Source organism: Homo sapiens, chromosome 19, assembly GCF_000001405.40.
Source record: "Homo sapiens chromosome 19, GRCh38.p14 Primary Assembly".
Lineage (NCBI taxonomy): Eukaryota > Metazoa > Chordata > Mammalia > Primates > Hominidae > Homo > Homo sapiens.
The window spans coordinates 12,984,939-12,997,206 of NC_000019.10; the positions used below are offsets into that span (position 1 = coordinate 12,984,939).

General features: G+C 57.6%; 1 protein-coding gene across 3 annotated transcripts in view, besides 2 other annotated features; it reads left to right on the top strand.

Annotated features, from left to right (window-relative positions):
* Positions 10,484–10,643: a silencer, noted in NCBI's record as "silent region_10188". NCBI's record gives its function as "represses an Ori minimal core promoter by ATAC-STARR-seq in GM12878 lymphoblastoid cells {active_cell/tissue: GM12878}" and the evidence as "EXISTENCE:reporter gene assay evidence [ECO:0000049][PMID:35858748]".
* The window catches only part of NFIX (nuclear factor I X), a 103,322-nt gene continuing 101,590 nt past the window's right edge, over positions 10,537–12,268 (top strand). For all 3 annotated transcript variants that reach the window (NM_001365902.3, NM_002501.4, NM_001365982.2), the window contains exon 1: positions 10,537–10,926. In NM_001365902.3, coding sequence (NP_001352831.1) covers positions 10,900–10,926 — 27 coding nt within the window. In that variant the 5' untranslated portion in view covers positions 10,537–10,899. The remainder of the gene's footprint in view (positions 10,927–12,268) is intronic.
* Positions 10,818–11,406: an enhancer, noted in NCBI's record as "H3K27ac-H3K4me1 hESC enhancer chr19:13106570-13107158 (GRCh37/hg19 assembly coordinates)". NCBI's record gives its function as "activates a minimal SCP1, AML or CMV promoter by ChIP-STARR-seq in naive H9 embryonic stem cells {active_cell/tissue: H9 hESC(naive)}" and the evidence as "EXISTENCE:reporter gene assay evidence [ECO:0000049][PMID:30033119]".

The window sequence follows — 12,268 nt, forward strand, 5'->3', positions numbered from 1 at the left end:
TCTGTCCCTGTTTCCAAGACTCGGGGGCGGGGGTGTCCTAGGGACAATCGTGGGGGCCCAGTCAGCATGCCTGGCTGCTTGTGTGGACGGCTAAGGGGCTGTCTCAATGTTGTGACAGGCACTGGGAGAGTGACTGTTGTGTGACAGGTTGTCCTTGTAATCGTGGTGAGGCTGTCACCCACGGTTGCATTGTAGCTCCTTGGTCTGGGGACTGTGGGCGTTGTGTGGCAGCGTGAGTGAGCTGTGTACCTGTCACCTGCAACAGGGAGACTGTGAGTGTGTGCTATTCGAGTGACTGTGACCAGTGGTCTGTACCTACTGGCTGCCTGCTCTGTGACACAGTGACAACAAGGGTGTGTTATTGTGCTATTGGAATAACTGGGTTGGTTCAAACCTTGATCAAGGGACAGCTGCGGTCTGCACCCTGGGGAGGCAGTGGTCAGAGCTGCTTTTCCTCCTTGTGACTGGGTGGGGCGGTGACTCCGTGTGGCCACGTGGCTAGCACAGCTGCAGGGACATGCGGACTGAGTATATCAGTGTGCCTCTGCTGGCCAGTGTGACGTTGATGTGGTGTGAGGGTCAGAGTGTCGGGGTTCCTGGGAGGATGTGTGAGACCGTGCAGCTGAGGTGTGTGTCACCAGAATTGTCAAGGGTGTGACCGTAGTTCTTCATGTGACAGCGTGGCTGAGGGTGTGATGGTGTTGCTGTGCAGGTGACACTGTGGCAGTGAATGCGTGGATCTTTGTGTGGTTGAAGGTGTGACAGTGATTGTGTTTGATGATCTGAACCAAAGGGCTATGACTGTCCTACCCTCACTTCCAGGCTGCACAGGGAGAGCTGGGTGCTGGAGTGAGGGGGCTCCTGGCATGGGATTGGCAGCTGCCTCGCCAGGGGCCGCACGTCAGCCTGAGACTGGGACACCTGGAGATCTGATGCCAGCTGGGGCACAGAACCTCCTCCCTCCATCTTCCCCTCCATAGGCTGGGTTTGGAGGAGTGGCCTCTAGATGCAGCTGGGACCAGCAGGGGGTGGGGCGGGATGTGCTTCTCTGGTCTAGGGGACTCTGGCCTCTGGCTGGGTGGCCCTGGAGGCCCCAGGTTCCCAGCATACGTGGCTTGGCCAGGAACTCAGTGTGGCCGACTCAGCCCCTCTGATACCCACACCCTGGGACGGCTGAGCATTGCTGGCGGCCCCAGCGGCAGCGCACAGAGGCTCCTTTCACGAGCCAGGGCCAGGTTTCCAGGGCGGGTGGGTCTCCGGCTGGCCCGCTGCAAATGAAACGTTTCCCCAGCTCCTTCCCTTTCGTCTCCAGATGAGCGACGGCCACAGGAGGCCCTGGCCAGGCTGTGCTGCCTAGGCAAGTGTGAGTGTGTGTCTGTGTTTCCCTGTGTGTGTGCACGATCTAGATATCTTTGTGTGACTTTTTGTTTCTTTTTTATTTTTTTTCAAGACAGAGTCTCACTCTGTCACCCAGGCTGGAGTGCAGTGGCACGATCTCAGCTCACTGCAATCTCCGCCTCCCAGGTTCAAGTGATTCTCCTGCCTCAGCCTCCCAAATAGCTGGGATTGCAGGTGTGCGCCACCATGCCCTGCTAATTTTTGTATTTTTAGTAGAGATGGGGTTTTGCCATGTTGGCTAAGCTGGTCTCAAACTCCTGACCTCAGGTGATCCACCCATCTCAGCCTCCCAAAGTGCTGGGATTACAGGTGTGAGCCACTGCGCCCGGCCTGTTTCTTTTTTTGAGATAGGATCTCACTCTGTTGCCCAGGCTGGAATGCTCACTGCAGCCTCAACCTCCCGGACTCAAGTGACCCTCCCACCAGATTAGCTGGGACCACAGATGCACACTCTATGCCTGGAGAATTTATAAATTTTTTGTAGAGACACGGTCTCGCTATGTTGCCCAGGCTGGTCTTGAACCCCTGGGCTCAACCGATCCACCCGCCTCGGCCTCCCAAGGTGCTGGGATTATAGGCGTGAGCCACGGCGCCTGGCCTTTGGTGACTTTTTGTGTGCTACATCTGTGGATGATTTTGAGAACATCAACGTGTGTGACCCATCGGGTACATGCAGTCCTGTGTGAGATTTTTGTGAACCTGTGTGACTTAGTGTGGCCTGTGTGTACCTGTGTAACTCAGCATGAGATTCTGGGAGTCCATGTGACTGTGCGTCTGTGTGTGTCTTTGCAACGCGGTGTATTGTCTGGGTCTCTATGGGGATCTATGTGATGGTGAAGGTCTTTGTGTGTATGACCTGGCTGTCACTCTGTGGGTGGCTCTGGGAAGGCCTGTGTGGGATTTTTGGCGTGACTGTGTGTGTTTGTATGTCTGTGTGATATTCTAGAAGGGTGTGTGATGGTATCTGGGTGACCCTGTGTCTGTGTGTCATTCTGGATTTTATCTGTGGGAACAGAGGAGGAGAGGAAAAGGGGGGAGGGGAGAGGGAAGGAGAAGGGTCTGTATTTCTGTGTGTCTGAGTGTGCCTGTGTATGTTTGGGTGCCCCTGAGTGAGTGTGATAGTGAGAGTCTGGTGTCTGCATTCACATGTGTGTGGTGTGGTTGTGGGTGTCCCTCGAGGTGTGCCTCAGAAGCAACGACCTGTAACTCCCCAAATTGAGTCCCTAATAGGGGCTTCTAGACCACCCTGGAAGGCAGACAGTGATTTCAAGGCTAGGACCCCAGGCCCGGAGCACAGATCATGCCTACCACGCTAAGTACGGGGACATCAGGCCCTCTTGGTGGGAGTGGGGATATCCAGGTTCTACTGGGGGTGCCTAGAGCACCCTTTTCTCCCAGCCTGGCAGCACCCATGGCCTGGCTCCCTGCCTATGCTACATGCCAGATGTTTGCCCACCTCACCCAAGAGCCCTGCTCAGTTGCCAAGCAGCCCTGGAGCCTCACGTTGCCCGGCCCCACATTCTGTGCCCCAGAATGTGGCTGCCAGAGCCCAGATGTTTCAGCCCTCCCCTCACCCACATCCACACTGCCCGCAGCATCCTGGCCAGGTAGTGCCATGGGCCTGGCTGCCGCTTCCTGCTCCTCGTCCTACCCCAACACACCTGCATGGTAGGAACGCACCTGCTGCTAGCCACAGCCAGGTGGGCAGCCTGGCAGGGAGGAATGTGGGGGATTCCAGCTGTGGCATGCCAGCTGTGCCCAGCCCCCTGGCGGCACCCTCCTCCCGTGAGATTTCTCGAAGGCCAGGTGTATCCTAATACTTGGGCCCCGGGGAGGGGGAGAGAGGGAGGGGCAGCGCTGCCCTCTCTGGCAGTCCCTCTGCCTTCCCATAAATTCTTCCCATTGCAGTTGTGGAGGGGAGCAGAGTGAGGGAGTGTGTGTGTGTGTGTGTGTGTGTGTGTGTGTGTGTGTAGGAGGGTGCTGTCAGTGTAGAGGAGGGGTGCTGAATGTGGGGAAAGAACTTTGAATGAGGATGTGTGTGTGAGTGTGAGAGTGAGTGTCTTGTCTGTGTGAGTGTGGATGTGGTGTGACAGTTGTGTTTGAATACAAGGAAGTGTGTGCGTGTGTGGCGTGTACATGGGGAGGGTGTTATGGGAGGAGTATGTGTATACAAATGGAAGTGTATGTGTGTTGTGTGTGTTTTTGTGTGTGAATGGAGGGATGAGTTGTGTGTGTGAATGAATAATAGGTGTTCTGGTGTGATACTGAGTGTCATAGAGTCCGTGACTGTGTGTGTGAAGGATGTGTGTGTGTGCACCTTTGGAAGTCTGGTGTCCTGTGTGTATGAATGGAAGGACAAGTTTGTGTTTGTGAATGAAGGATGAGTGTTGTGTGGGTGTGAATGAAGGGTGTGTTATGTGTGTAAAAATGAAGGAGAGATGGCCGGGCGCAGTGGCTCACGCCTGTAATCCCATCACTTTGGGAGGCTGAGACAGGCGGATCACAAGATCAGGAGATTGAGACCATCCTGGCTAACATGGTGAAACCCCCTCTCTACTAAAAATACAAAAACAAAATTAGCTGGGCGTGGTGGTGGGCGCCTGTAGTCCCAGCTGCTCGGGAGGCTGAGGCAGGAGAATGGTGTGAACCCGGGAGGCGGAGCTTACACTGAGCCAAGATCGCACCACTGCACTCCAGCCCGGGTGACAAGTGAGACTCCGTCTCAAAAAAAAAAAAAAGTAGGAGAGATATGTGTGTGGATGAAGGCTGGGTGTCGTGTATATGTGGATGAAGGATGGGTGTTGTGTGTGTACATAAGGAAGGCTGGGTGTTGTGTGTGTGGATGAAGGCTGGGGTGTGTGCGCGCGTGTATGGAAGGCTGGGTGTTGTGTGTGTGCGTATGGAAGGCTGGGGGTGTGTGTGTGCGTATGGAAGGCTGGGGGGTGTGTGTGTGCGTATGGAAGGCTGGGGTGTGTGTGTGTGCGTATGGAAGGTTGGGTGTTGTGTGTGTGCGTATGGAAGGCTGGGTGTTGTGTGTGTGCGTATGGAAGGCTGGGGGGTGTGTGTGCGCGTATGGAAGGCTGGGTGTTGTGTGTGTGCGTATGGAAGGCTGGTTGTTGTATGTGTGCAAATGGAAGGATGGGTGTTGTGTGTGTGCGTATGGAAGGCTGGGTGTTGTATGTGTGCGTATGGAAGGATGGGTGTTGTGTGTGTGCGTATGGAAGGATGGGTGTTGTGTGTGTGGATGAAGGATGGGCGTTGTGTGTGTGCATGTGAAAGGATGGGCGTTTGTGCATATGGAAGGCTGGGTGTTTTGTGTGTGCATATGAAAGGCTGGGGGTGTGTGTGTGCATATGGAAGGCTGGGTGTTGTGTGTGTGCGTATGGAAGGCTGGGTGTTGTGTGTGTGTGTATGGAAGGCTGGGGGTGTGTGTGTGCATATGGAAGGCTGGGGTGTGTTTGTGTGCGAATGAGAGCCTAGGTCTGGGCCAGGTGCAAGGACCAGGAAGGCCATGAGGGACCATCAGCCCAGGAGCCCGGGGCCTGGGGGCTGGTGGTCACGGCTGGAGCACAGGCTGGCAGGTGGGGTAGGGCAGCCAGAGTTGGGGTTTCTGAGCCATGTGCCCCCTCACAGCCATTTGCAGGGGGGTGGGCAGGGTCTGCCTGGCTCTCAAGATCCTCCAAGCCCCCAGCTCCATGAAGGGTCTCACACCTCCCCGGGCCCTTTCCCACAGCTTCCCCCTCAGTCCCCCCACAGACCCACACTGCTCTGCTGTCCTCTTCACCCAGGACCCCCAGATCCCCCAGACATTGCCTCTGCTCCTTTCCACAGCCATCTGAGCCCCCGCCCTGCCTCCATCCCCCATCACTCCCTCAAAGCCCGCATGTCCCCAACTCCTTCTCCCAGACATCCCAGCCTCTCTAGGGCCCCTCAAAAGCCCCCAGACGCTTTTCCGTTCATCCCTTCTGCCTTTTCCAGCTCCCCTCCCCTCCCTACACCTGGACCCCCATTCTGTCCTCTACCCCTTTCCAGAACCATCCATTCATCGGCCCAACCCCCTTGATCCCCAAATCCCTTTCTGGCCCTTCCTCCAGCCCCTTACCGCTCCCAGCCCCCCACGGGGCCCCGCCCCTTCCCCTCTGCGCCCCCACCCCCACCCCCGCTCCGCTTCCAACCCCTCCCCCGTCCGCCCCTTGGAGCCCCCTCCCTCTTCTGGGGCAGCGGTGGTGTGGAGGCAGGCAGCCGCAGCACTCCTGAAACTTTAAACGGTGTTAAAAGTTTCTGTTTACGAGAAACCCTTGAATTTTTAAGGACATATCGATTCCCTGCTCCACAGCCTTGCCTCGGTGGCGTGGCGGCCTCAGGCACAGTGGGGAGGCCCAGACTGGAGGGAGCCGGGGTTCCGAGGCCCCCAAGCACCGAATGACAGATACACGCCTACCCAGACACACTCTCAGGCACACAGGGACGCGATCCCTGATACACTCACACACACACAGCTAGTCACACACAGACATGGCCTGACACAGACACACATATCAGGACACACAGAGACCCCTCCCTGACACTGACACACGCATACACCAGTGTGTGTATACACACACCGACATGGCCTGACACACACACAGACTCACATCTCTGACACAGGTTTACATTGACCCCCCTCCCTGACACACACACACCCACCCACACACACCCACCCACACACACATACACTCCTAGTTACACACACTGATATGGCCTCACAGACACACACATTGACATGGCCTGACACACACAGACTCACATCTCTGATACAGGTTCACAGGGACTCCCCCTTCCCTGGCACACACACATACACACACCTAGTCACATACACTAACATGGCCTCACATAGACACACACACACGACCTGACACACACAGACACATGTATCTGGACACACAGAGACCTCCTCCCTCATACACAGACACACACACCGACATGGCCTCGCTCTCGCTCTCTCTCACACACACAAACATGCACACACGCATGGCTACACACACTCTCTGGCATGGCCTGACACACACAGGCTCACATCCTTGTCACACAGAGCCCCCATGTCCTGACAGCCCTGATCCCTGACACTCCTGAGCACCTGTGTACACACCCTGGTACACAAAGATCCTCATCACCGCCCTAGGTCCACATAGCAAAACACACACCTAGTGACACCCATTGACACTTTCTGCCCCACAGACCCTGATCACAAACAGGGCTGGCTATGCCCATTGGGCTCTTGCAAGCAGGTCCCAGACCCACTGGGACCCTTGCACAGTCACTCACGTGATCACACTTCAAGACACACACACACACAGACCCATATACACTGACACTGCACTGTTGTCCAGGCTGGAGTGCAGTGGCGCGATCATGGCTCACTGCAACCTCCGCCCCCTGAGCTCAAGCCATCCTTCCACCTCAGCTTTTGGAGTAGCTGAGACCACAGGCACGCACCACCACGCCTGGCTTTTTTTTTTTTTTTTTTTTTTTTGTATTTTTTGTAGAGATGGAATCTCATCATGTTGCCAAGCTGGTCTTGAACTCCTGACCTCAAGCAATCTGCCCATTTCAGACTCCTGAAGTGCTGGGATTATAGGCATGAGCCACCGCATCCGGCCTACACTGACACTTTTTTTTTTTGAGACGGAGTCTCGCTCTGTCGCCCAGGCTGAAGTGCAGTGGCGTGATCTCGGCTCACTGCAAGCTCCGCCTCCCGGGTTCACGCCATTCTCCTGCCTCAGCCTCCCAAGTAGCTGGGATTACAGGCGCCCGCCACCATGCCTGGCTAATGTTTTGTATTTTTAGTAGAGACGGGGTTTCACCGTGTTAGCCATGATGGTCTCGATCTCCTGACCACCCGCCTCGGCCTCCCAAAGTGCTGGGATTACAGGTGTGAGCCACCGTGCCCGGCTGGTGTTTGCTTGCTTGCTTGCTTGCTTTTCTTTTTCTTTCTTTTTCTTTTCTTTCTTTCTTCCTTTCTCTTTTTCTTTTTCTTTTCTTTCTTTCTTTCCTTTCTTCCTTCCTTCCTTTCCTTCCCTCCTCTTCCTTCTTTCTTTCTTTCCTTTGTTTCTTTCTCTCTCTCTCTCTTTTTCTTTTTTTCTTTTCTTTTTTTTGAGATAGAGCCTTGCTCTGTTGCTCAGTCTGGAGTGCAGTGGTTCGATCTCGGCTCACCGCAACCTCTGCCTCCTAGGTTCAAGCAATTCTGCCTCAGCCTCCTGAGTAGCTGGGATTATAGGCGCCTGCTACCATGCCCGGCTAAATTTTATATTTTTAGTAGAGATGGGGTTTCACCATGTTGGTGAGTCTGGTCTCGAGCTCCTGACCTCAGGTGATCTGCCTGCCTCGGCCTCCCAAGGTGCTGGGATTATAGGCATGAGCCACCACGCCTGGCCATGGTCTTTATTTTCTTCCCCCACCATGTCCCCAGTGCTTGGTATAGGACCGGGCAGGCACCTTCTCTGCCTCATGACACCTTAAGTACAAAGTCAGACCCAGTCTCTGCTGCACAACATACAGATCCACACAAAAAGATTCTTGCTTTGTTTTTTAAAATTTTTATTATTTATTTATTTATTTATTTATTTATTTATTTATTTATAGATGGAGTGTCGTTCTGTCACCAGGCAGGAGTGCAGTGGCGCGATCTCAGCTCGCTGCAACTTCCGCCTCCTGAGTTCAAGTGATCTCCGGCCTCAGCCTCCCGAGTAGCTGGGACTACAGGTACACGCCACCACACCCAGCTAATTTTTGTATTTTTAGTAGAGACGGGGTTTCACCATGTTGGCCATGATGGTCTCGATCTCTTGACCTCATGATCTGCCTGCCTTGGCCTCCCAAAGTGCTGGGATTACAGGCGTGAGCTCTCCCTTTCTCTCTCTTTCGTTTTGAGACAGAGTCTTGCTCTGTTCCCCAGGCTGGAGTGCAGTGGTATGGTCTTGGCTTACTGCAGCCTCTGCCTCCCAGGTTCAAGCGATTCTCCTGCCTCAGCCTCCCTAGTAGCTGGGATTACAGGCATCCCACCACGCCCAGCTAAGTTTTTTATTTTTAGTAGAGACAGGGTTTCACCATATTGGCCAGGCTGGTCTCAAACTCCTGACCTCAGGTGATCCACCCGCTTCGGCCTCCCAAATTGCTGGGATTATAGGTATGAGCCACCACGCCCAGCCAGACTCTTGCACCTATCATGACCTGCATTTCTTCAGTGTCCCCGGAAGACACCAGACCCATCTAGACACCCACAGACACACTGCCTGCCACACAGCCTAATACAGTATTGTGACAAGGAGCATATCGTTTCTGGGACATTTACACACATACTCACGTACACATGCATACTTTTGTGCCTGCTTGCAAGAGCCCAATGGGCACAGCCAACCCTGTGTGCGTGCGCACCCCCCGCCCTGGGCACTGACACCCCCTTTAACAGACAATGCATAGCTGAGAATTGCCACAGCTTTTTGGCCCAAGAGAGCAAGAAGGTGCTGGTTGCACCTGGCAGCAGGCGGGTGTTTTGTCTCAGCAGGAGCTGCCTGGGGGCTGTAGGCACTGCCTCCCCACCCACCCTGAGGGTTACCAGAGGGCTTCCTCTCCCCTTGCTCCAGGGTCCCCAGCACTACCTCTCCCCCCAGGCCTTTATGTTCTGAAAATGAGGAGTCAGGGCCCGCAAGAGGGGCTGGAACCTCACCAAAGTGTGTGTGTGTGTGTGTACATGTACGGAGGCCCTGATGCCCAATTCTGTCCCTGACAGCTGAGCTGTGGGTCTCCTGCTATATTTGCCTATGTCGATGATCAGGGCCACATTACAAGTGTGTTGGGGGGGGGGCACGTAAGGGACATGGGTGTATGTGTGTGATCCCTGTGTGCATGGCTAGATGATTCTCCCAGGGGGGTTGTCAGCCGCCTGGGCATCAGTTGGTCAGTGTGTCCAAGGCCTGTGGGTACATCTGGGCAACCCAGTGTGTGTGTGTGTGTGTGTGTCTGTGTGTTGTGTTGTGACAGCCAGTGTTGCTTTGTATCTGTGACGCTGTGTATCTCTTTGTATTGGGGTCCTTTGCATTCACTTCCAGGTGTTTGGTGTGTGTTTATGTGACATTGTGTATCTTCCCTTCATTAGTGTCATCTTATTTATTTAGTTATTTTTTTTCAGACAGGGTCTTGCTCTGTCACCCAGGTTGGAGTGCAATGGCACTATCATGGCTCACTGCACCCTTGACCTCCCCGGGCTCAAGGGATCCCCCCACTTCAGCCTCCTAAGTAGCTGGGACCACAGGCATCCACCACCACACCCAGCTAATTTTTGTATTTTTGGTAGAGAGGGGTTTTGCCATGTTGTCCAGGCTGGTCTTGAACTCCTGAGCTCAAGCAATCCACTGGCCTCGGCCTCTCAATCATCAGTGTCATTCTGTACATCGGGGTGTACTGCCACAACTGCCAGTGTGTTCTGGCACTGCGATGTGTGTGTGTTGTGTATGTGTCTGCGTGTAGGAATTGTGTGTCTGGAAGGTGTCAGCGTGTGGCTGTGTGATCTTGCATGTGTCTGTGTTCTGCAGGAACATGCGTCAGTGTGTGTGCATCAGTGTGCATCTCTATGTGTCATGCACTGGTGTGTCTTCGTGTATATCAGTGTGTGTCTACGTGACGCCTGCTTTGGTGTATGTCTATACGCGGTTCCTTGTTGTGTGCCTGGATACCATGGTGGGACGGTGCATGTCAGAGCGTGGGTCGTGGGTGTTTTCCCAGACTGCTGTGTGTGTGTGCCCGTGTGTAGGGGTTGTGTGTCTGTGCCTTGTGTGCACTGGTGTCCGAGTGTGCTTTGTGTTCGAAGGCGGAACGTGTGGCCAGGCGTTCTGGACGTGACATGTGTGGCGGGGTCCGAGTCCCGCTGCGTGTCAGCGTGTGTCTGCGCTGGAACGCGGGCCAGCACGTGTCAGGGCGGCCGCGTCGGTGTGCGCCCCCGCGCGCGCGTGTGCGTGTGTTCGTGTGTGTGTGTGCATGTGTGTGCTTGTGTGTGTGCGCCGGCCGCCGCTCCCCCGCCCTGCCCGCCCCTCCCCGCGCCCCTCCTCCCGCCCGCGCCGCCCGCCCGCTCCCTCTCCCCGGAGTGCGCCGCTTCCAAACTTTGTCTAAACTTTCACTTTCACAGCGCGGCGGCTGCGGCGGCGGCGGCGGCGGGCGAGGGTGACCGGCCGAGCGGCGGCGGCATGGAGTAGACGCGCGGCGGCAGCGGCGGCGGCGGCGGACGCGAGAGGCAGCGGCGAGCGCGGCGGCGGCGGCGGCAGCGGCGGCCCCGGAGCCGGCGGGGCCGAGCTTGCGAGCGGCGAGCGCGGAGCGGCGCCGGGCCGAGCGCGGGGCCGCGGGCCGGGCGGGCGCAGCGCGGCGGAGGCCGGAGGAGCCGAGCCGGAGCCCGAGCCCGAGCGCGGCCGCCGCCTGCCGGGCCTCCCCTCGCCGCGGCCGGCCGCCGCGCTCCCGCCCGGGCGCCCAGCTATGTACTCCCCGTACTGCCTCACCCAGGTACCGGCCGCCGCCCCCGCGCGACCGGGGGAGGGGAGCGGGCGCGGGAGGCCGGCCGGCGGCGCGGGCGGAGGGGACGCGCGGCGGCCGGGAAGGGGGGGCCGAGAGCCCGCGGGCCGCCGAGGGGTGCAGGCTGTGCCGCGGGGAGCCCAGGCACGCGTGCGGGCGTCACCGTGCGCGTGCGACCCTGGCCACCGGGCGGACTCCTTTTGGGGGTTCCGGGGGTGGCCAGCTGCGTCGTGGCGCTGCCCGTGGAGCGCAGGCGGGAGTGCGTGTACGTGTGTGTGTGTGTGTGTGTGTGTGTGTGCGCGCTCGACTGGGGTGCGATGGGCAGCGGGACTCCGGCTGACCTGTGGGCTACTGTAGCGCGCACCCGGGCAGCGTGGTCGCTGGCAGTGTTTGCGGGGTTGACAGAGTGGCAAGAGGGTGGTCCCGAGGGCGCAGAGGGGACACTGGGTCCCGCGACGCTTCCTGGGGAGGGCGCAGCGGTTCCCGAGGGTGGCAGTGGCCGGCGTGCGTGGCGGCGGCCCTTGCGTGCGGCCGGGGTGCCTGGGGTGGGCCGAGCGGCCCGGGCGTCTCCCCAAAGTCTTTGTTTAGGCCTCACATGGGAGCGGGGCTAAGAAAATGGCGGGGCTCCCAAATTTCGGAGGGGCAGGGGAGGGGAGAGGGGGGCGGGCGCGCTGCCAGCGGTGGCCGCGCCTCTCCGACCCCGGACGTCGCAGCCTCTGCCCCCCCACCCCCAAACTTTCCTCGGCGCAAACTTTCTGGCCCCAGCGACCCGGGCTGCTGCGGAGTGGACCCGGCAGGCCTGGGGAATCCCGTCCCGTCGCCTGGAGGCGGGAGGGGCGGGAGGCAGCCGTGGACACAGCCGACAGTGCTGCGGCCACACCGTCGGGTCAGCCTCGGGCACAACAGCGCCGACCTTGGCGCGTTGCTAGAGCGCGTCCCGCCTGCAGCGAAGTTCCCTGCGCGGCGCACGGCTGCGGCAAAAGCTTCGAGGATGCCTGTCGGGCCACCCAACTCTCCCTGGGCTGTGGCCTGAGGCTCTAAGAGGGCACAGAAGCTGCCCAGAGTCCCACAGTGGCCCTGACAGCGTTGCCTGCAGGGCCAAGCCACAGCTGGTAACAGTCTCCGAAGAGGGGACATCTAGGGGCTGCTTAGCCCTGCTGCCAGCCAGGCCTGCATGTGGGGGTTCTCTAGGCCAGGCCCTAATTGTCCCCTCTGCCCAGCCTGATCCTTGTCAGCCATGTGCCAAGTGTGTCCACAGCTTACAGTGGCAGTCCACATGGGTATGGCTCCTACTTTGTCTGGGTCCTACCGGGAGTGTGCAGTGGTGTCAAGG